At 35.9% G+C, this 22,820-nt stretch overlaps 1 protein-coding gene across 13 annotated transcripts in view; it reads left to right on the top strand.

Annotated features, from left to right (window-relative positions):
• Positions 1 to 22,820, top strand: part of TTC29 (tetratricopeptide repeat domain 29) — a 239,248-nt gene that overhangs the window by 60,383 nt on the left and 156,045 nt on the right. For all 13 annotated transcript variants that reach the window (NR_133922.3, NM_001317806.3, NM_031956.4 and 10 more), the window contains 2 exons: positions 10,554 to 10,766; positions 17,899 to 17,984. Coding sequence is in view for 12 of the 13 variants with exons in the window: in NM_001317806.3 (NP_001304735.1) it covers positions 10,554 to 10,766; positions 17,899 to 17,984 (299 nt within the window). In the remaining variant the exon portion in view is untranslated. The remainder of the gene's footprint in view (positions 1 to 10,553; positions 10,767 to 17,898; positions 17,985 to 22,820) is intronic.

The raw sequence follows: 22,820 nt of genomic DNA, 5'->3' as shown, positions 1-22,820 counted from the left end.
TAATCTAGATACGTAGAAAATTTGTATTCAATTCTTTACAACTGTGTAAAAATTATGCATGGATATATAACAGAATAGAATGAAACTTGACCAAAATAAGTACATTTTGAGTGATTAATGGTGTTGTCAGCAATACTTAAGATTTTTCCTGTATTGTTTCATTCATGCCAATATATTTTTGCCCTCAAAATAAGTAAACTTATATTGCATTTTATTTTTGCTAAATATCCTTTTTTTTGCTTTATTGCATTACATTTTCAAAATCTTTTGTTATTTTGGGTCAGTTATAGGGTAGTGTCACCCTAATTTGCCTGGGACTGAGGAGGTTCTCAAGACTCATGATTTTTGGTTGCTAGAACCAGGAAAGCCCTGGGTAAACTTGAGCTGGTCACCTTAAATAGAGTGAATGTGAAAATTTTCTTTTGCCTTTCTTAATCTGGTATTGTATTCATGTATGAGATAATAACATCTTTGTTTGCTGTCAATAGATTTTGACAAGCATAGTATGGTTATTTTTGGTTTTAAATAACTCTTATTTTCTATTTTAATTACTATCATATTAAAAAATTTTTAACAATAAAGCCTCCTTTATGTACAGGGTGTTGCAAGAGAAAATGGCATAAACTGATAAAGGACATCTTATTAAATTAAAACACAAACAAACAAAAAACTCCAGCAAGAACTCCTAATGGCTGCAGCTGAGTCATGACCAAAGCTCTCTGTAGGTTTCTCTATCTGGGTGTTAAATCCTAGTGTACTTTCCAGTCTCGTTACACCTTTTGTACAACTAAGCAAGTTCCTTGGGAGCATTTTTTCTCTTCATAGTCAAAAAATAAATCCTACTTGTTCATTTCCCCCATTTGTAAACTGCTTCCAAATTTGCATCTTAAAAGTCCCTCTGGAGGAAATTTTTCCAAAAAGATTCCCTGGAAGAGCAAACACATTATTCCATTCAGGCTTCCTAGTAACAACATGGAATAAAGCCAATCAAACTAGTTCCTAAGTGTAAAGCATTGATGATTGTAATATACCCTTCACTAACACTCAAACTGCAGGTCTCTTGAAAGCACCTCCTCTTTAATGTCTGTGTGATTTAGAGGCTAACTACTTCCCACTGCCACTATATGCACACTTCATTTTTCAGAGTAAATTCCAAGAATGGATTTAGAAAGCCAACCCTAGTAAACATTTTCGAAGGTGCGTCCAACTAGACCAGTGTTAGAAACTGAGTCACTTTATAGTTGAATGAAAGTGAATTTGATAGTTAGAAACTTTCTTAAAGAAGTGGATTAGCATTCCTATTTCTACATAAATTAATTGTCACTTTTTGGGGCATGTCAGTTTATTCTTCATCTACTATGTGTACATGTTCATAAGACCTTATAGTATTTAATGAAGAGATCCTTTTTAAGTATTGATAGCCACAAGAAAATTATACCATGTTTGATCTATGTTAAAGAATCAAAGTCCAAGATCTTTGAATGGAATTTAGAATAAAAATGTAATTGGGTTACATCCCTAAAGTCTGATATATCTTTAAACAAGACTGCAAATGAAACTTTATTAGAGCTTCAAATGAATTATTTCATTGCTTCTTTTTTTTCAATTCATTTTCTTCCCCTTCTCTTTCATGTCTGTGATACTGACATTGCTGCTTGTATTTTACCTGTCTTTTTCAGGGTGTTTTAATTATTTACTGCTTAACGAGTAGCACGGAGAGGAAGCCTCATTCAAAGGTGCCTGCTCTGCAGCAGGTTTTTCTTTTTTCAAAGCTTTGCAAGGAGATCTTGAATAGTTGCACCGAGCCCACAGTTCTTGCTACACTGAATAAACTGTTCAGGAGGCAGTATTTCCTCTGTCTAGGAAGAGGCACTGCCCCTAAAATATCTCTTCAGAGGTACAACTGACCAGGAGTGTAAGGATTATTTATTGTGTTAGAGTTGGATGAAGTGTGCTGTTTCCAATTAGTGCCTCAACTGGCATTTAATCTGAAAAACTGATATTATTCCATAACCTTTAACAGGGGTATTCCCTATAAAAGGCCCATCCAGATTCACAACAAATTGCAAACTTGAAAAAAAAACAAAAAGAAACTATATAACTCCACGTGAAAAGTTATTGGATGTCTGTGAGGCACCAGGCACTGAGCAAGGTGCTAACAATTGTTTCCGCACCCGTTGCAACTACATCTGGAGCTTGGCATAGTTACCCATACTTCAGAATTCTTAAGGAAAGGAAGCTCAGAAGTAGTGTGTGAATGGTCCAATGATATCACTGGGGCAGATGGCCAAAACCTGGTCTCTGGCTTTGAAGTTAAATACTTGACCCATTTTCTAAAAAGGGGAGTGACCCTGAAGAAGTAAAGTCACAGTAGACTTTGGACATTGATTCACCACCTACTGAGTATGTGAATTTAGGCAAGAGAATTCCTGAGGCTCAGTTTCCTCATCTCAAAAATATACTAACACCTGAGGGTGATGAAGTAAGGTTATACACAGACAGACACATACACACATGTGCACACACACAGAGAGAGAGAGAGAGAGCAGCAGCTAGTGTCACGCCTGGCACATAGTAGAAGTTCAACCAACATTATTTCTCTCCCTCCATACTCATCTAAATATCTTATTTTCAGTTTTTTGGGTTTTGTCGTAATATCCAAAATAACACGTTAATCATCCATCAAAACAAAGAAGTGGAGGGGGAAAGTTAACTCTCCTCACTCTCCTCGTCACCATCTTCAATAATCAATACTGATACTTCGGCATAGATGCTTCCGCACCTTTCTCTTTGCTCACATAAACATATAGAAATCAAATTGAGTGTGCTTTATATAAAATCATGAGCAATATATAATTCAAGTAAAAATTACATTATTGATTAAAGCCTGTGCAAATATAATTCAATAGTTGATCTAATGTCAATATTAACTTTATTTATCCTCAGATGTTTATACCTATCGACACTTTTTAGTTAGTATTTTAAGATAAGGTGGGAACATTAAAGTAAAACAATTTATTATATGAGGAAAATAGTCGACTACCAACTATACAAGTTTCAAAATGGCTAATATAAATTCCTTACTTTTTATACATTATACACGTTACATTTTTCAATAAATTTTTTGAGTAACTTTGATACCTCCAATTATGCTCTTTTAAGAGTAAAGCTGCCTAATGCTTATCTTTAGAAATTACAAAACTTAGATTGAAACCAACTGTGGGAGGTTTATTGGCCAAGAGCAGTCAGACTTGCTCACTGGCCACAATTCAGCTATCTAAAATCATAAGCAGCAACAATTAATAACACTTCCTCCGGAATATTTTGGAGATCTAGGCAAATTTTCTGGATTTAAAAAAATGAACTTTTATTTCCATCATCAGTAATAAAACCCTGGGTGAGGTTCTCCCAAACCTGTCTACATGGGATTCTTTACATTGTCTGGTCAATATGACCGATACTCTTTAACTGGTGTGGGGTAGCATTCCTATAACGTCCATTTGAAATCAGCACTCCAAATGACAAAGAGAGGATTCCGTTTTTAAACTAGCATCTTATATTTCATCTAAATATCTAAAAGTAGCTACTCAAAAGTTATGGGCACATTTTCTTCTCAGTGTATTAGGGATGCTATTGAGTTACAGAACAAAATCTTTGTTTTCCAGTGTTCCATTTTGCAATGGTGTGCAGTGGGTTATAGTGCACAACAAATCTCTTGTGACAGGAGATAAACCCTTGAAAGTGATAGTTTCTGTTGGAAGTGTGGCAAGCCCTTAACTATTTCAGCATGTGTAGTGCCGTTATAATTATCATAATTAAATGTAAAAACCTAAAGATAATATAAATTGTTCATGCAGTTAAGCCAAAATGGAAAGCAGTGTCTTTTGTTTTTGCAAAGGGGCAATAACATTTTTCCCTTTTTGCTACTGTTCAATATTGCTTCTAGCAGATTTTATCTCTATGTTGTACAGAATAGTAATTTACACCAAAGATGTCCAGTAGCTCTAGATTAAAATGTAATATAATACACGTAAAGCTTTATTGTTCCTTTAGGTTGTTGTTTTAAACTAAAGTGGAATATTTCCCTAAAGTCTTCAGCAAATGTGCACAATTTTGAACTAAATATGCTTAAGACTTATACCAGTGCTGCTGAAGAAATAGGTCTTATGGATCTGTCAAATTATTTTTATGCAATTGTTTCTGCAGCATTGTTTTTACTGGCAAATGTACAAGTCGATAGAAAAGGAAATAATTAGCTATTTTCAGAATTGCTGATGCATGGAGCTAAAACAGACCAGTCTATGCGTCTTAGAGATTGTGACATTTTAAATTACCTGAACAATACCAGCAGCCATCTTTGGACATAATTAACACCTTGTCTAATTAATGTCAGATCTGGACAGAGTCATGCTGTATTTATGAGATATTATTTTATTTAAACTTGCTTTTGCCCTTATTGCGTTGCAAACTTTAGATTTGTATGCTGTTTTCTTAAGTGGAGCAACTTCTTTTTTTCCTTTTTTTTCTTTTTTTGTTTCCCTCCCCCTTCAAGTAATCAATGCACTGCTGAATGAGTTCATTTTAATGCACTCAATCATGCCTCTAATGTTCGTAGCTTACGGGCGCAAGCATCAGTAATACAGGAATGTTATATGGCTTTAGTTTGGGCCATTTCATAAAATATTCATAGAATCAAAAATGTGCATCAAAATAGCGGCTGGGAGAATTACATTTATGTTCCTGCCTTTATGGCAGCTTCACATTTAAACCCATTTGTGTTAATATCTAGTCAATCTTCCTACTTTAAAAAAAAGCTAAAATGGGAGAGATCATATACATTCTCCTTTGCTTAATATTTGTTCTAGACATCTGCTGTGATACAACAAATATCTATAAACTTGCAAAGATGTTGTGCAGGGAAGAGGGTAAGCAACAATTTGGATAATACCCAACTATATAAAATCTTATTTTCCCTACATCGTGTTTGTCTTAACATTCTACCAAGCATTTTGCAGTTTACAACATTGTTTGGGTTTTGTTTGTATTTTTAAATAAACGGATAGATTTCTTGTTTGTGTGGGCTTTAGATAAAGTAAAACTCCCTTGTAGTAGTTTTATTTTGAGTGCTTGTTCCTTTAGGTAAAAAACTATAAATGCATGCCAAACTCCTCATTGTTTATGTAGATGTCATATAATTGATAAACAAAACAAAACTGAGGCTTAGGCTATTTCTGTTCATACCTGGATACTCTTGTTTGATGCAGTTGTTCACAGTGTTCTCCTAAGCTGTGTTTTCTGATCCTACTTCGTATTATTGAAATAAATTGACTACTAAGGGTATTTGTGGAGGGCAATCCCCAGCCTCTCCAACAAAACATTTTGGCTCTATTTTCTTCCCTGGTTCACATGAAATGTTGGTGGACTATCTGGACTTTTGCTTGGTATAGAGCCATGCATGCAGGCCTTTAATTCAGCAGTTAGTGTGTCTTCCTTACTGTGGTTACCACTGTGATCTGGTTACTCACAGTGATGATGAAGATTTGTGGGTGATTCCTGGTGCACCATGATAAAACTCACTTTCCCCTACAAAGACTTTAATACCTGTGAATAGTCCCCAGGCCTTCTTTTTTTGTCCTGTTTTCTGTTAACCTTTGTATTTGTGATACGTTGGTAAAATTATTCCACTTTTTGCTGTCCCTATTCCTTGATGGAAAATAATGTCAACACTTGATAATTCCAGAGGAGGACAGTCCTTGGACACTTAAACACTTGTTCTTGTCCTTCTAAAAGATTGACATCAGAACCAAGTGAGATTTCTAGATCCTGCTGTGTTAAAGTTTATTTGGTGCCAAAAGGTACACTAAATATGAAAGCTTTGTAGAAGTTATAAAGGAATGCTATAAGCCATGTTAGAAAATCTGATTCATTATCTACATTGATATTTATATTTAGCTTAGTAAAAGTGATCACCATATTGAGGTCTTTTATAATATTTCTCTCAGGTAAATTGAATTTAAAATTTTCAGTTAAAAGCAGTATGCATTATGTCTTAATAAATATCTAGTCTTAATATCAGAACCGTTACTCAGAAAATAAGATGATTTTAAAAATCCAATTCACAGTTGGAAATAGAAATTGGATGGAAATCATATCATTGTTAATCATGCTTAAAGGGAAATGCTTGCATATTTAAATTATTATGCTCTCTTCATAGCATGGGCATATCTTTTAATATTTTTAAATCAAATATTCTACTATATCATAATATATGCTTTAAATTCTGGCCAGCCTTTAGAAATTGCAGATAAGTCATTTGTGTGCTTGTGGTCATTTGGATCAAATCTTTGCTGGCTTATCTTCTTGCTGGCTTATTTACTGCCACCAAATACTTTTAGAAATGAATCCCTACATATGAGAAGGACTGGAAAACTGCTTCTGTGTAGTAGGGACCTCCATTTAAAATACTACTAATCAGGACCCCACTGACCTCATCTGTGGGAAAATGGTGAAGCAAGGGGAAATGAAACCATGAATAGTGAGATGAGGCCACAGGTGCCTGAGTCGAGTGTACCCATGGAATTCCAGAGCCCCCCACAGATGTCACTGCATGGCTTAGAAGAGAGCAGAGAATTCAGATATAGCTGGTTATATAACAGTTTCTTCAGAAAGACCAATCAGAAACACATTAGGGGCTCACATCTGTGTTTTTCTTAGAGGTGACCTATGATGGCCTGAGCAAAGTCAGAGAATTATAGAACTGGAAGAGACTAGGAATCATGCAAATTTGATCATTATTTTTAACACAAGAGATTCATGTCCAGAGAATTTAACTCACTCCACCTAAGTTTCCTGGCTCTCGATCTGTTGACTAGTATCTGATGTGGTGGAACCAGTTGTGTGGGCTTTTGGTGACCTTGGGTTTAAATCCTAATCATCACTTATGAAAACTCTGGAGCATATATTTGAGTCATGTAAACTTTGTGAGTCTCAGTTTCCTCTTTAGTGAAAAAGCAACTATCATATATACTTCACCAGTTTTTGGAATGTTCATTAAGTTAATGTGTAGGGGAGAGAAAAGCCTTGCATTTTGACTAGCACCTAATAGGCCTTCAGGAAAGAGTAGGTCACTGTTCTCTTTTACCCAAGCATCTCAGGCTCCGTCCTCAGGGAAGACTCCAAATAGACCCTTCTGAAAGCTGAACTTTGGCCAATAACCATGAACTAAGTAGTATATTGATACTAGCCCTGAAAGCTCTAGCAAAAAGCAAATCCAACCGAAAAGCTACTGTTATTTCTAACCATCCCAAGGTTGCCTTCTGTAGTCACCAGCTGAAACCAGTGTCCTGAGGACCATCCTCACTTCATTCCTGCTTGGACAGCCTTATCCAGGACACCTAACAGCAACCCAAGACTCAGTAAGGTAACACAGAGGACGTCTGGCGGATAAGGAATACGAAGACACAGCCCCAGCCTTCCCTCCACTCTTCCCACCTCCCATTTTGTCCTGATTTCTTCCACTTCTCCTTTTCCTACTTGACCCTCCTGTCACCTCCCCTTTCTGCCCCCATATAGATCAAATTTTGGAGATGGATATCAGTTCTCATTTGCTATTTACATCATTATACCTCATTTGCCTCTAATTCTAATTGAGTTACCCAGAACTTCATTTCCTTTATGATCCATATCTATTCTGGAACTATCTGTTTTTCTCACAGTATTCTACATCCCTTCTCCCCACTTACATGGCCAAAAAGAAATATGTGTCTGTACTTTATGAATAGATGGACGCTAGATGAAAAAAGAAAAGGAACTCTTGTATACATCTTTCCAGGGCTACAGTGCTATACTTCATAGGCAGAAATATAGTTAACAGAGGAAATATAACACACAGATATGTCAATGCTCCATTCTAGTTTTAAAAAATGAGGGTCATGGGTATTTGGAGCAAGGTGTTTCTGGCAAGAGGTGCTACGTGGGAGAGATGAAAAACTATGCCTGTTTTTCTGGAAGGTAAGAAAAAATATCAGCTAAAAGTAAAGATAGATTAGAGCCATGAACTTCAACCTTGAGTATTGGTCTCAATGTGAAAAAGGTACTGAGCATTATTTCTTAAATAACTTTCATTGTATATCCTGATGACAAAATAAACATGCTTTGATGATAGAAACTTTAGGAAATGCTAATAAGCAAACAGAAAAAAAATCAAGAAAAAGAAAACAGAAAATCAGAAAATAAACCATAAGTTACCCATAATCCTACCTCCCAGACATAACACTGATAATGCTTTCTAAATGTTTTTTTATGTTTCCTAATATATTTACTTATTATAAACACTTGTTTATGTAACAAGATCGGCTTCTATAATATCCTACTCATGGCCTGCAGTCTCCTATCATGTGAAGTTTCATAATATAAATTTATAAACAAGTCTGCAGTACACATTGCCCCTTCTGTATGTATCTTCGCTGACATGTCCTCCTGCACGGCTCAGCAAGGACTTAGACTGTCCATGTCTACTAAATTTTGCTTTTTTTTTTTTTTTTTTTTGAGATGGAGTCTTGCTCTGTTGACAGGCTGGAGTGCAGTGGCATGATCTCGGCTCACCACAATCTCCACCTCCTGGGTTCAAGCGATTCCCCTGCCTCAGCCTCCTAAGTAGCTGGGACTACAGGTGTGCACCACCATGGCTGGCTACTTTTTTGTATTTTTAGTAGAGACGGAGCTTCACCATGTTGGCCAGGCTGGTCTTGAACTCCTGACCTCGTGGTCCACAGGCCTCAGCCTCCCAAAGTGCTGGGATTATAGGCGTGAGCCACTGTGCCTGGCCTGTCTACTGAATTTTTCTACAGACCGTTTACTGATTATCCACCACCACTGGTTGTTTTTCTTTGAGAATACTATTCTTATTTCTATGTGCATTCTTTAATACTCATTCTGGTAACAAATTCAATGCAACAAATAGGAAGAAATTATATGCAATAGTCATGGAAGTAGCTCCAACCCACACTATTCAATGAAATTCATTTGAGGAAAGATATTGAGTCTAATATAACCTGCATAGGTTAATTTAATATGTCATGATGTTATTATTATAGGGACTCAACTAATTTTTGGTTTTTGTGGGAAGAGTAAGTTATACTTAATAAACATGGTAAATTAGTGGCTATATTTCAATTTGCCTGCTGGAGTTTCTGAAGATATTATTACTGTACCAATTGATAACATTAGCCGTGTTTCTTGAGCACCTACCCTGTAACATATAATTGTACATGCATGAATTCATTTCTCACAATAGTACCTCAAAAAGTTACACAGTAATCCTGTTTTGCAGAAGAATAAAGTAAGGCACAGAGAGAGTAGTAATTAGCCTGAGGCTAAACAAAAACTGGGAAAGCTGGGCTAGGAACAGGCTGTCTGCTCGGAGCCCACACTCACTCTTAACCACTATGGTTGGAGTGCCTAGATATAAGTGTTCTTTGTATCAATTCCAATTATGTAACTCCAATACCATAAAAGAGTATTTACATTTCAGGATATTGTGAGCATTCCCATGAGGCAATTAACAAATAAAATACAATCCACTGTATGGAGCTGCAAACTATTCTTCCAGAAATATGTTTGCTCATATTTTAAGGAAAGAAATTACTTACAGCTAATTTGGAATTTTAGCTTGGAGAAGATATATTTTGGATTTTATTATAGGGTAAAATCCAAAAAGGCAGTTAGTTACATTCTAATTATCCAAAACTAAACAGCATATACAAAAACCTCATTGGAAAGTCCAGTCAAACTTTGAGAAGCAGTTTAAGGCGCCATAATGTTTGGATTTGAAGTTTGTAACAGATGCATTCTTTTTTAAGAATGATGAAATTGGGAGGCTGAGGTGGAAGGATCGCTTGAGCTCAGGAGTTCAAGGCTGCAGTAAGCTGTGATTGCACCACTGCACTCCAGCCTGAGTGACAGAGTGAAAAGAAAAGAAAAAAAGAATGATGAAATTGTCATCTGTTGGAAAAGCAGTAGAGGATATTGGTTGAGAGTATCAGCTCTAGAGTTAGATTTCCTGGATGTTATAGCACCAGACTTGCCATCTTGAGCAAAATTCTTAACCTTACTAAATTTTGGCTTTCTATTCTGTAATATGAAATCAGAACAGTCCTACTCCATTGGATTGTTTTGAGGATTAAATGAGAAATGCATATAAAGCACACAGCAGAGTGCATGGCATACATAATGTTAAAGAAATATTAGCCAATATGATGGCTATTAATAAATATTGCTGGCCTTTTACACCCTCTCTAAACATATGCAAGCCCAGTAAATTTCTACTAGCCAGAGTACATCCCTCTTGCAGGTGTGTATCTAAAATTCACGCTGAAACTGAGGTCCAATTAGAGATCACTCCTTTCCCAGTTTAATTCATCTTCAGCCTTAGAAATCCTTCACCATAATCCTCGGTGTTTCTCCATTGAATAATAAAGCTAAAACGTATGCAAAATTTCTGAAAATACGTTCCGTCCTCTGGTTTATACTTATGAATGGCTTTTATTCTCCAGGTCAGCTTCTGGAAGCTGCTGAGCATTATGAAGCATTCCATCAATTGACACAGGGGCGGATATGGAAGGATGAGACAGGCCGCTCTCTCAACTTGTTGGCCTGTGAGAGTCTCCTGAGGACTTACAGATTACTCTCAGACAAAATGCTAGAAAATAAAGAATACAAACAGGCCATCAAAATTCTAATAAAAGCTTCTGAAATAGCCAAAGAAGGTGGGTGGAAAAGAACTCTCTCACATTGCTTTCTTTAATGGGTAGACACTGTTTCTCCCAAGAGTGAAGTAAAAATCGTCAAGTGTTAGGGTGATTATTTCCTATGAAATGCAAAGACAAATGCCATCAATTTACTTTCAAATTTCACTGTAAAACGAAGGTGCCTTAGTGCTGACAACAAGAAATCCATTAGTTTCCTGAAAGCTTTATCTCCAAAATTACAATCCGCTGGGGGTAGTGTTGTAAAACAAAGAACCTAAAGTGAGCAGGTAAGATCATCTGCAAAAGTTAAGCATGTGTGTGTGCATGCGCATGTGTGTATGTGGTTGTATATTCCTTGCAGTCTTAGAGACCTTTCATTGTTTGTAAATTCCCCATGGTCAGGTAATAAGGAAAATATGATATATATTTAGTTATTAGTAACAGGAAAATAGGACTGTAACATATTTGAGACCTTTTTGCCTCTCAAAATGTGGCCTTTGGAACAGCAGCTTCAATATGTTATAACAGCCAGGGTCTCAGGTCCCAACCCAGACCTACTGCAGCAGGATCCTCAGGTTAGCAAGATACCCAGGTGATGTATATGCACACTTAAAGCAGTAAAAATGCTTCTATGAGAGCTGCTCATGTCTTTCATAGTCTATATCATTTCTGTATGTATAAAATATAAAGAAAAAATTTGGAGCATATTCTTATAAGCTTTTAATTTGTGAAATGCACAGATATTTTGTTACCATATAGTAAATTATTACTAGAGTAGCCTTTTCAGGAAGGAGAAAAAGATAAAAGTTATGCTCCTGAACTAAAGTTTATTAGCTTATGGATATATTTAATTGATTGGTTTATTAAGTAATAGATGGCTTATTAAGAGTGAGCAGGACTGATTTTCTGGGTGTAATTTTAATTTACTAAAGAGGAAAAATAAACAGCTTAGTCTCCCTGTAACTTCTTTTAATAATATTAGTCAACATACTCACAGGAAATCACCCCCTGAAAGATGTATCTCATTAAATGAACTGCTTTTGAATAAATGGTCTAGTACCTTCCCCCAAAGGGGTAAACACAGAGTTAGCTCTTATATCAATTTCAGCAGCAAACTTTAGTCACATGGAAAGTTACATGGAATTTCAATGAAAAGGAATGCATTGATTAGGAAAAGATATGTTACTTTAGGTTTACATTTGCTAAGTTTTAAGGTAGTTCACAAAGAAAGAAAAGTTCCTTGGGTCTCTTCCAACAGTCAGAGCCTGTCAAGCAGTCTTCTTTCAAAAAATATCTCTCTCTTACCAAAGATCAGATCAGGAGAAGAGAAGACTTACTTCTTACACTGTTATAGTTTTTAATATCTTTTAAAACCAAAAAATATTTGTCCCCACATTTTTCATCTAAGAAAGTACATAGGTTAAAGGATTACACAATACTTTACAGAGCTCTTAAAGAGGGTAAATATTCTGGGACAAAGCATCCCTTTACTCTTGTCTCCTACTTTGATCAGGGAGCCTGAAGGAGCAAGCTGATGATTACCTGAATAAAGCATGCCCCTCACATTGGTTTACATGGTATTTAAGCGATACTGACACCAACCGTTGGCCAATTCCTTTGTTAGGGTACGTTGATGTAATGCACAAGTGTAGCATCAGCCAACACCTTTTACTTAACATAATGTTTTCAAGGTTCATCCATCATATAGGGCCAAATCGCCTTCTATGGCATGGTTATACCACATTTTCTTTATTCATTTATGATGGACATATGAGTTGTTTCCACCTTTTGCCTATTATGAATAATGCTGGAATGAACATTTGTGTACAACTTTTCAAAGATCTTGATTATATGCTTAGGAGTGGCATCGCTGGGTTATATGATAACTGTGTTCAACTTATTGAGGAGCTGCCAGTTTTCCAAAGTGGCTTCACCATTTAACATTTCCACTAGTTTTATGTGAGGGTTTAAGTTTAGCCATTTCCTCAGCAGCACTTCTTACTTTTATCTTCTTCATTATACTCATCCTAGTAGGTGTAATGTGGTATCTCACTTTAGATTTTATTTGCATTTCCCTGTTGGCCCGTAACATTGAGCATTTTTTTTCATGTGCTTCTTGGCCATTTGTATATCTTCTCGGCAGACGTTTTTATTCAGATTCTTTGCCCAGTTTTAATTGGGTTATTTTTTTATTATTGAGTTTTAAGAATTCTGTATATATTTTATATACAAGTCTTTCATCAGATATACGATTTGAAAATATTTTCTCCTATTCTGTGGGTTTTATTTTCACTTCCTGATGGTATTCATTGAAGCACAAGTTTTTAATTTTGATAAAGTTCAGTTCGTCTAGTTTTTCTTTTGCTGTTCTTGCTTCTGATATCATCAATAAGAAGGCTTTGACCAATGCAAGGTCACAGTGATTTACTCCTATGCTTTAAGAGTTTTTAGTTTTAACTATATTTAATCTTATCATCTATTTTCATGTGTGTGTGTGTGCACATGTGGTGTGAGGAGGGTACGACTTCATATTTTGAAAGTGGATATCCAATTGTACTAGTACTACTTGTTGAAAACATTATTCTTTTCTCAATACATTGTAATGATACCCTACATAAAATCATTTGACCATAAATGTGGAGATTGTGTCTGGATTCTCAATTCTATTGCCTTGATCTCTCTTGTCTAACTTACAACTACAAGAATACATAGATTTTATTACTCTAGTTGTGTAGTAAGTTTTGAAATTGGGAAATGTGCTTTGTAATACTGTTCTTTTTCAAGTTTGCTTTAGTTGTTTTCAACACTTGCATTTCCATGTGAATTTTAGGATCAGCTTGTTAATTTCTGCAGAAAGGGGAGCTGGAATTTTGATGGGAATTGCATTGAATCTGTCAATCAATTTAGGGAATATTGCCATCTTCAAACTAAGTTTTTCAATCCATGAATATGGGATATCTGTCTATTTATTTAAATATTCTTTAATTTTTTTCAATGATTTTTATAGTTGTCAGTGTATATGTACTGCCTTCTTTTGTTAAATTTATTTTTAATATTTTATTCTTTTGATGCTATTGTAAATGGAATTGTTTCTTAATTTCATTTTCAGATCGTTCATAACCTGTATGTAGAAATAAAACTGACTTTTCTATATTGATCTTATAGCTTGCAACCTTGTTAAACTCATTTATTAGCTTTGACAGTTTGTTATGGATTCTTTAGGATTCTCTATATACAAGACTATGGTATCTGCAATTAAAGTTTTGCTGCTTCCCTTCTATCTATGTGCCTTATCTTTTCTTGCCTAATTTATCTGACTAGAACCTCTAGTGCAACAGTTTTAAACAGAAGTATGATATTTACTGAGGGTTTTTTTGTAGATGCCCTTTACTACATTGAAAAAATTCCCTTCTATTCCAAGTTTGTTGAGGGTTTTTAACATGAAAGGGGGTTGGATTTTGCAAAATGTTTTTTTCCTACATCTATTGAGAAGGTCATGTGTTTTTGTCTTTTATCCTATTAATATGTTATATTATACTAATTGATTAGCATATGTTGAACCAACCTTGCATCGCTGGGCTAAATTCCACTTGATCGTGGTGTATAATCCTTCTTATATGTTACTGATTTGGCTTTGTGAGTAATTTTGTTAAGGATTTTTGTGACTATATTCGTAGGGGACATTAGTTTATAGTTTTCTTTTCTTGTAATGTCTTTGGTTTGATGTCAAAATAATACTGGTCTCGCAGAATGATTTGGGAGGTGTTTTCTCTTAATTGCTTAAAAAGTTTGTAAAAGATTGGTGTTAATTCTTAAAATATTTTTTAAAAATTCAGCAGTGAAATCATCTGAGCCTGGCTAGCCTTTTCTTCATGGGAAGTTTTTAAATTACTAATTCAGTTACTTTACTTGTTATGAATTTATTCAGAGTTTTTATTTCTTCTTGAGCCAATTTCAGTAGTTTGTATCTTTCCAGGAATTTGTCTATTTCATCTACTTTATCTAACTTGTTAGTATGTAATTGTCCACAAAATTCTCTTATAATCCTTTTCATTTCTGTGAGGCCTACAGTTATTTACCTTTTTTCATTCTTGATTTTAATAATTTAAGGGTTTCTTCTTTTTCTTTTTTGTTTGGTCTAACTAAACATTTGTTAATTTTGTTGACTTTTTCAAAGGATCATTTTTTGTTTTGTTGATTTTCACTATGGTTTTTCTATTCTTTATGTTATTCATTTCCACTCAAGTTTTTCCTATTTCCTTCCCTCTGTTTGATTTGAGTGTAGTTGTATCCTCTTTTTCTAGTTTTATAAGGTGGAAAGAACTTTCTTATTTTAAAATATAGACATTTATAGCTATAAATGTCCCTCTATGCACACCTTAGTTGTATCCCATACATTTTGGTTTGTTGTGTTTTCATTTTCATCCATCTCAGAGTATTTTTTGGTTTACCTTGTGTTCTTCTTTGACCCATTGTTTATTTAGGATAATTTTTAATTTCCACATACGTGCAAGTTTCCCAAATTTAATTCCATTATGTATTTTTAATTTCACAGTATTGTGAATACCACCTTTTCAATGGAGTCTACTCTGATGACCATACTTAATATTGAAACCTGCTTTGTCCTCTGGACCCCCACTTGGCTCTCCCAATTCCCCTTACCTTGCTCTATTTTCCCTCTGGAACATTTGTCAGCATACACCTTACCACATAATTATTCTTTATTATTTATTTTCTCTCTCTTTATGTCTCTGTCCTCTAAAACATAAGTTTTGATGTGTCACTCAATTTTAGTAGTGCCAAGATTTTAGATCTAACCTTTTCTTTTTGGTTGTTTTTAATCCTATTCTTACCGACATTTTTCTCTGTTATGTTATTGCTTTCATTTTATCTTAACTTTGTTTCTATTCATGTACAAGAAAAGTTCTCATGCTTAAATACTATTTAAAAACTAATATTTGGTGTTTCCAAACTGTATCAGTAGCAATAGATGTTTTCTTTCCTTTCCCCTCTTTGCTGAGCTTCCACTCACATAAAATTAGATGCAGATGATGGTGCCATATCAGCCCGGCCAGTTGCTAGTGCTTTAACACAGTTACACCACTTGACACAGAAAATACATACCACATACAGCCAACTTTTAACTCTCTAATAAGTAGCTTCCTGTCATAGCCTCGTTCTTCTATTCTGTTTTTCCCTTCACTAGTCCCACATTTATCCCCAGAACCCATAATCCTGTACCAGAGAAAAAGTTAGGGCCCAGCTGAATTTTAAGAATTAAAGTTCCCCTTAGTGGATTACTGGCATCATCAACTCTGCTAAAGTGAGATCTTGAAGGTATAATTCTCTGCAATCAGGGAAATAGCTAGAGAAGAAAAAAATACTGTCACTGGCATTTGCCATCCTATTTCCTTGAAGTCTTCAAAGAGCCGCTGCTTCAGCAGCGGTTATTTGGTGAGTGGTGAGAGTGAATGCAGCAAGAAATATTGTTCCTGCTGACATCCTTCATGGTTGGAATGTGGAGCTCAGAAATCTAAGGATACTTCCTGTATTAGTCTATTTTGCATTTCTATAAAGGAATATCTGAGGGTGGGTAATTTATAAAGAAAAGAGGTTTTTTTTTTTTTTTTTTTTTTACTTAAAGCTCCACAGACTGTACAAGAAGCATGGTGCCAGCATCTCCTTCTGGTGAGGGGTTCAGGAAGCTTCCAATCATGGCAGAAGGCGAAGGGGAGCAGGCATGTCATATGGCGAGAGAAGGAGTAAGAGAGATGGTAGGCTCTTTAAAGCAATCAGCTCTCATGTGGACTAATAGAGCAAGAGCTCACTCGTTACCATAAGGATGGCACCAAGACATTCATGAGGGATCTGCCCCCATGACAGACACCTTCCACAGGCACCACCTCCAACATTGGGGATCACATTTCTACCAGGAGATTTGGAGAGGACAAACACCAAAACCGTATCACTTGCTTTCCAAAGACCAAAAACTAAGGTTAGATCACTCAGCATTTGCATTAGTCAGGAGTTAGTCACATTGGAAGCCAATGTTACATTTAATATACTAAATATAAGCAAGTTATATATTTGCCAAATGGTATGAGGTATGTCATGTTGAACCATGTTGTATCTTTACGCATTTTGCTTTTGGAAAGAAGTGGTTAATTTCTGAAATAAAATTAGTAAGATATTGCAGGAATTAGAAAGACTAACTTTATTGCAGAAAAAATGATGAAAAGCATTACCAGTGATTAGTAAAGAAAAGTGTTTGGATTTCAAATATGCATGGAATTTTGTACCAGGAAATTAAGCTGTCAGTTACTCTCACCTATTCTTTAATCAATAGCTTTTTTTAATTATTATTATACTTTAAGTTTTAGGGTACATGTGCACAATGTGCAGGTTAGTTACATATGTATACAGGTGCCATGCTGGTGTGCTGCACCCATTAACTCGTCATTTAACATTAGGTATATCTCCTAATGCTACCCCTCCCCACTCCCCACACCCCACAACAGTCCCCAGAGTGTAATGTTCCACTTCCTGTGTCCATGTGTTCTCATTGTTCAATTCCCATCTATGAGTGAGAACATGCGGTAGCTCTTAAACAGAACATAATCAAAATAAAAATTCATTAATTTGTGAATTATCTGCAGTTAGAAACTTAGCTGAATGTCAGTCCATGTGATTGAGTATGAATGTTTGTGCACCATTTAAGGTTGTTATCCATTATCAGTTGTTTTATGTATGTAGCAGCAACTATGCTAGATGACTGTAAGCCTTTACATGCTGGACTAGTATAAAAATTATACATGAATGTCAAAATGATAATATTGGGCTGTGTTTATAAAGGGAAACCCCTTTATAAACTAAATATAAGCAAGTTATATATTTGCCAAATGGTATGAGGTATGTCATGTATGAGGTATATAATTATATCCTTAAAGCATCTTAATTTAATATCTATGATCCAGGTAAATTGTGTTTACATCAGCCTTTTTTTTTCAGTATATAGCTAGGTTTTGGGGATTATTGATAAAACTGCATACTTTTAAAAATAATTTTCTACTGTCTTGAAAAGCAAGGATTCTGTTTGTTGTAATAAATCATTTATTGAATACTTGGTAATTTTTTTACATCTTCACTTCAGGAAGTGACAAAAAGATGGAAGCGGAAGCCTCTTACTACTTGGGCTTAGCACACTTAGCTGCTGAGGAATATGAAACAGCATTAACAGTAAGCTAAACTTTTAATCACTGCCATTTTTAATTTTTATTTTAGTATATTTATTTTATTTTCCTATATGTTATTACAAGGCCAATAGAAATGAGTTAGGCCTGACATAGGTGTGCCTATTTACTGAGATTAAAGCAGAATAGCAATATGCTAGAAGCATTTTAAAAATCGGTTTTATTGTTTATTGAAGGTACAGTGGTATGTAATCAATTACTATGAAGTGCTTTGGGATATGTGAAAATTAAATAAATAGAGTAATATGGCCCTCCATATGCCCATATCAACAAGGACAAGAGGAAATAGGTTTAAGTGATGGTAAAAAGTAAGTAACAAAAAAGAAATTACAGTCATTTTATAATATGATTTGGGAAATTTTGCACACACAGAAATGCAGTTATAAAGCAAATACAGTGAGCTGCATTGATGTATATCTTCAGTGCAGGTAGTGGGGAGGCAACAGAGGTGGAGGTGGGTGTTAGTCTCAGTCTGAGAAGTAGCCTGCCGTATAATCAAATCACTGTTAGGCTATTTTGCAACCAGGTTTTGTTTGGCTAAAAACAAACAAATAAAAATGTCAAGAGCGATCTTTCCTGAATTATAACTGAAGTCATTTTTTCTTCTTCTCTTACCTCTACTATGTATTTAAAGCATTTCACCTACATCTCTTATAATAATCCAATGTGATACACAATATTGGATTAATTTTTAGCTTTTGGGATCTTCTTTGTTCCTTTAGATATTTTTTGCTAAGTAGAATTCCTATATTTGGGCTAGATATTTTCCTCTAGCCCCCTTACAATTGGATAGCATAGAAAACTTAGGTTTTCCTAGATGACTCTTATGCTTAATATTTTTTAATTAATGATTAGCATTCAGCAAAACTTTGTTTCTGATACCTTGGGGAACACAGAGACAACCAGATGCACACTTCTCTTGAGGGGTTAATTTAATGAGGGTAAACAACTTGCAAGCATAACCACAATTCAAAGTAGGATGAACAGGGGCTTTTTAAGTGCAAAGGGAAGAGTGGCTGGTTCCAACACTGAAGACCAGGGAGGCTGCACCAAAAAAAAAGTTTTTGAGAGACAGGATTTACACATGTAGAAAACATGAGAGTCCACAATGATAGAACAGCAAATATACGTGTGTGCACACATGCGTACACACTCAACATGGACATACTCAGTGTGTTGGGAAGCAAGGACTTAGGTGGAAGATGAGATTCAGTTGTAGGTCAAATTGGAAAATTAGGTGAAAACTAGCTCATAGATATTCTTTCTCTCTCAAGTAATGCAAGCACAAAATAAATTCAAACAATACAATAAAATTCACAATGAAAACTAAATTTTCTTTCCTTCCCTGTACTCAGTCTCACAGTTCTTTTCTCAGAGACAAACACAGTTACACGTTTCTGGCTTATCTTTCTGAAAATATTCTATATATTCAAATATCATAAAGTGCATATATATGTTTCCTTTATGTTATTTAGAAAATTGTTGCATTTTATATGCACTGTTCTGCACCCTGAGTGAATTTCTTCCATACTAATGCATAGACATGCCTAGTTTTATTATTTTAATTTTTCCAGCTTTATTGAGGTATGATTGGCAGATAAACATTGCATCTATTTAAGATGTACAATGTGATGTTTTGATATATCTATATATTGGGAAATTATTTCCCCAATCAAACTAGTTGGCCTGTCCATCACCTCCCATATTAACCTCTTTTGTATGTGTGTGAGGACACGTAAGATCTAGTCTCAGTAAACTTCAAGTATATAATATACCATTATTAACTATAGACGAGTCTCATTGTATTTATTTATTTATAATTTCAACTTTTAGATTCAGGGGTACATGTGCAGATTTGTTATCTGAGTATGTTTTGTGATGCTGAGGTTTGGGGTATGATTGATCCTGTCACCCAGATAGTGAGCATAGTACCTGATAGTTTTTCAGCCATTGCTCTCCTCCCTCTAGTCGTCTATTGTTCTCATCTTTATGTCCATGAGTACCCAAGGTTTAGCTCCCACTTGTAAGTGAGAACAAGTGGTATTTGATTTTCTGTTCCTGTGTTAATTTGGACAAGCCTTATCTTAAGGGGTCTACATGATATCCCATTGTGTGGCTGTGCCATAATGGATTCAAACATCTTCTACTGCTGGGCATTAAGGTTGTTTCACATAACTTTTATTGTAAAGGATGTGGCAGTGAACAGTTTCATCAGATGTGACAAATTTATCCATAGAATAGATTCCTAGAGGTGGAAATGCTGGTGTATCCTATTCCTAGTGGTGTAGGATAGTCTAGTAATGAATAGATTGAAGAAGGAATATTTGACATCCAAGGGATGAACTACTTTACTTGAAGCTGTTACTCCTTTCAGAAGAGTATTGAAATTGTTTCTCTGAAAGTATATGTGAAGCTTAAGTCCCTACAACCTATTAACTGTGTGACACTGGGCAAATCCCTTACACTCTTTAAGTCTCAATTGCCCCATCTATCCAGTGAGACTAATAACTGTACTTATTTCATAAAGGGTAGTGAGTTAAATGTTACTCCCCTTAAAAAAAAAAAAAATCTACTTCCTAATCCCTGGAACCTGTGAATGCAGAGGTAATTAAGTTAAAGATCTTGAGATGAAGTGCTCATTCTGGATTATCTAGGTGGGCTCTAAATATGAAGACAAACATTCTTATAAGAAAAAGGCGGAAGATTTGAAACAGAAGACAGGAAGCCACATGTGCAGAGGAAAAGACCATGTGAAGACAAGGGCAGAGAGTGCAGTGATACAGTCACAAGTCAAGGAATCCCTGGAACCGCCAGGAGATAAAAGAGGCAAGGAAGGATCCTCTCCTACAGCCTTTAAAAAGATCACAGCCCTGCTGATGCCTTGATTTCAGACTTGTAGCCTTCAAAGCTAGAAGAGAATATATTTCTATTATTTTAAGTCATTTAGTTTGTGGTAATTTTTATGTCAGCCTTAGAGAACTAATACATAGGGTGATAATAAGAGATAATTTATGTAAAGTTTTAAAAGACTGTCTGCCTGGTTTATAATAAACCTTCAATAATTATTATTTTTTTATTTTTTCTAATCTAAGTCTCTGGACTTGAGCAGTAATAGTGAAGATGGAAGGAATTAGACAGATTCAAAAGTTATAAAGGACTTGGTAACAGGCTAAGTATAGGAGGTGAGGGAAACAGAGGTGCGAAGATGGGCCCTGAGTTCCTGGCTGTGGAACTGGGTGGATGCTGGTGTTGTTTTCGGGGGTAGGGAATGTGAAAGGCTTGCAGGGAAATGGAGAGTTCAATTTTGGATATGTAGAATTGGAGGAGTTTTAAAGGTATTCAAGGAGAGTTCAAGTAGACAGTTAAATATGAGGGTCTGGAGCTTAAAAAGAAGTCTAGAGTGGAAATATTATATGTGAAAGTTAATTTTATGTGCCAACTAGGCTGGGTCATGGGATGCCCAGATAGCTGGCGAAACATTTCTGGGTGTGTCTCTGAGGGTGTTTCTGGAGAAGATTAGCATTTGAATCGGTGGATTGAGTAAAGCAGATGGCCTTCCCCTATGTGGATGGGCATCATTTAATCCATTGGGGACTTCAATAGAACAAAAAGGCAGAGGAAGGGCAAATTTACTTGACCAGACTGTTTGAGCAGAGACATCGATCTTCCACTGTCAGCACTGATGGTTCTCAGGTCTTCAGACCCCGTCTGAATCTACATCACTGACTCACCAGTTTGCAGGCCTTCAAACTACACCACCAGCTCTCCTGGGCATGCAGTTTATGGACAGCAGATGGTGGGATTTCTCAGCCTCTATAATCACGGCAGCCAGTACCTTACAATAAGTAACAAATCTTTTCATATACACATGAGAGGCTATGAGAAATGCATTTCTGTTATTTTAAGACATTTAGTTTGTCACAGTTTGTTCCATCAGGCCTAAGAAATGGCTACATAGGGTGATTAAAAGAGATTTTGCATCTATCCTATTGCTTCTGTTTCTCTGGAGAACATAATACATTCTATAAATTTGTATGTTTTCAGCAAATTGAAGCTGTGGAGTGGATGAGATTTCCTAGAGAGAGAGTTAATAGTGTTGAAAGAAAAAGGCCTAGAGCCAAATTGGATGAAGGAGGAGGTACAAAAGAGCTTAAGCAGGAGTATCCAGGAAGGCAAGGGGAACATAGAATAGATGGTTTCATACCAGGTATTTCTAAAAGAAACAGACATGCAAACTGCATATTTTTGCAAACTGCAAAATCCTGGGATTTGGGCTGGAACGAGAGAACTCTATGCAGATATTTCCAGTAAATGTACCTGGATTGGAATTAGGTTTAGTTAATTCTTTTTTTTTTTTTTTTTGAGGCGGAGTCTGGCTCTGTCACCCAGGCTGGAGTGTAGTGGCACGATCTCGGTTCCCTGCAAGCTCCACCTCCCAGGTTCACACCATTCTCCTGACTCAGCCTCCTGAGTAGCTGGGACTACAGGCGCATGCCACCACGCCCGGCTAATTTTTTGTATTTTTAGTACAGACGGGGTTTCACCGTGTTAGCCAGAATGGTCTCCATCTCCTGACCTTGTGATCTGCCCGCCTCAGCCTCCCAAAATGCTGGGATTACAGTGGTGAGCCACCACGCCTGGCCCAGGTTTAGTTGGTTCTTGTTATTTAATTCTCCAGCCAGAGTAGAGGCTTCGGGAAACTAGGCAAGGGCGTATTCCAGCCCTCAGGCTCACTGCTATCATCCAGTAGCCTTTGCAGTTGGGAAAAGCCTGGGACTTTCTTCAGAGCCTACATTTTGACAGAATATTTGTGGAAGAATAT

This window comes from Homo sapiens, chromosome 4, assembly GCF_000001405.40.
Source record: "Homo sapiens chromosome 4, GRCh38.p14 Primary Assembly".
NCBI lineage: Eukaryota > Metazoa > Chordata > Mammalia > Primates > Hominidae > Homo > Homo sapiens.
The sequence above is the reverse complement of the archived record's forward strand: the minus strand, read 5'-3'. Positions and strand labels throughout refer to the sequence as shown.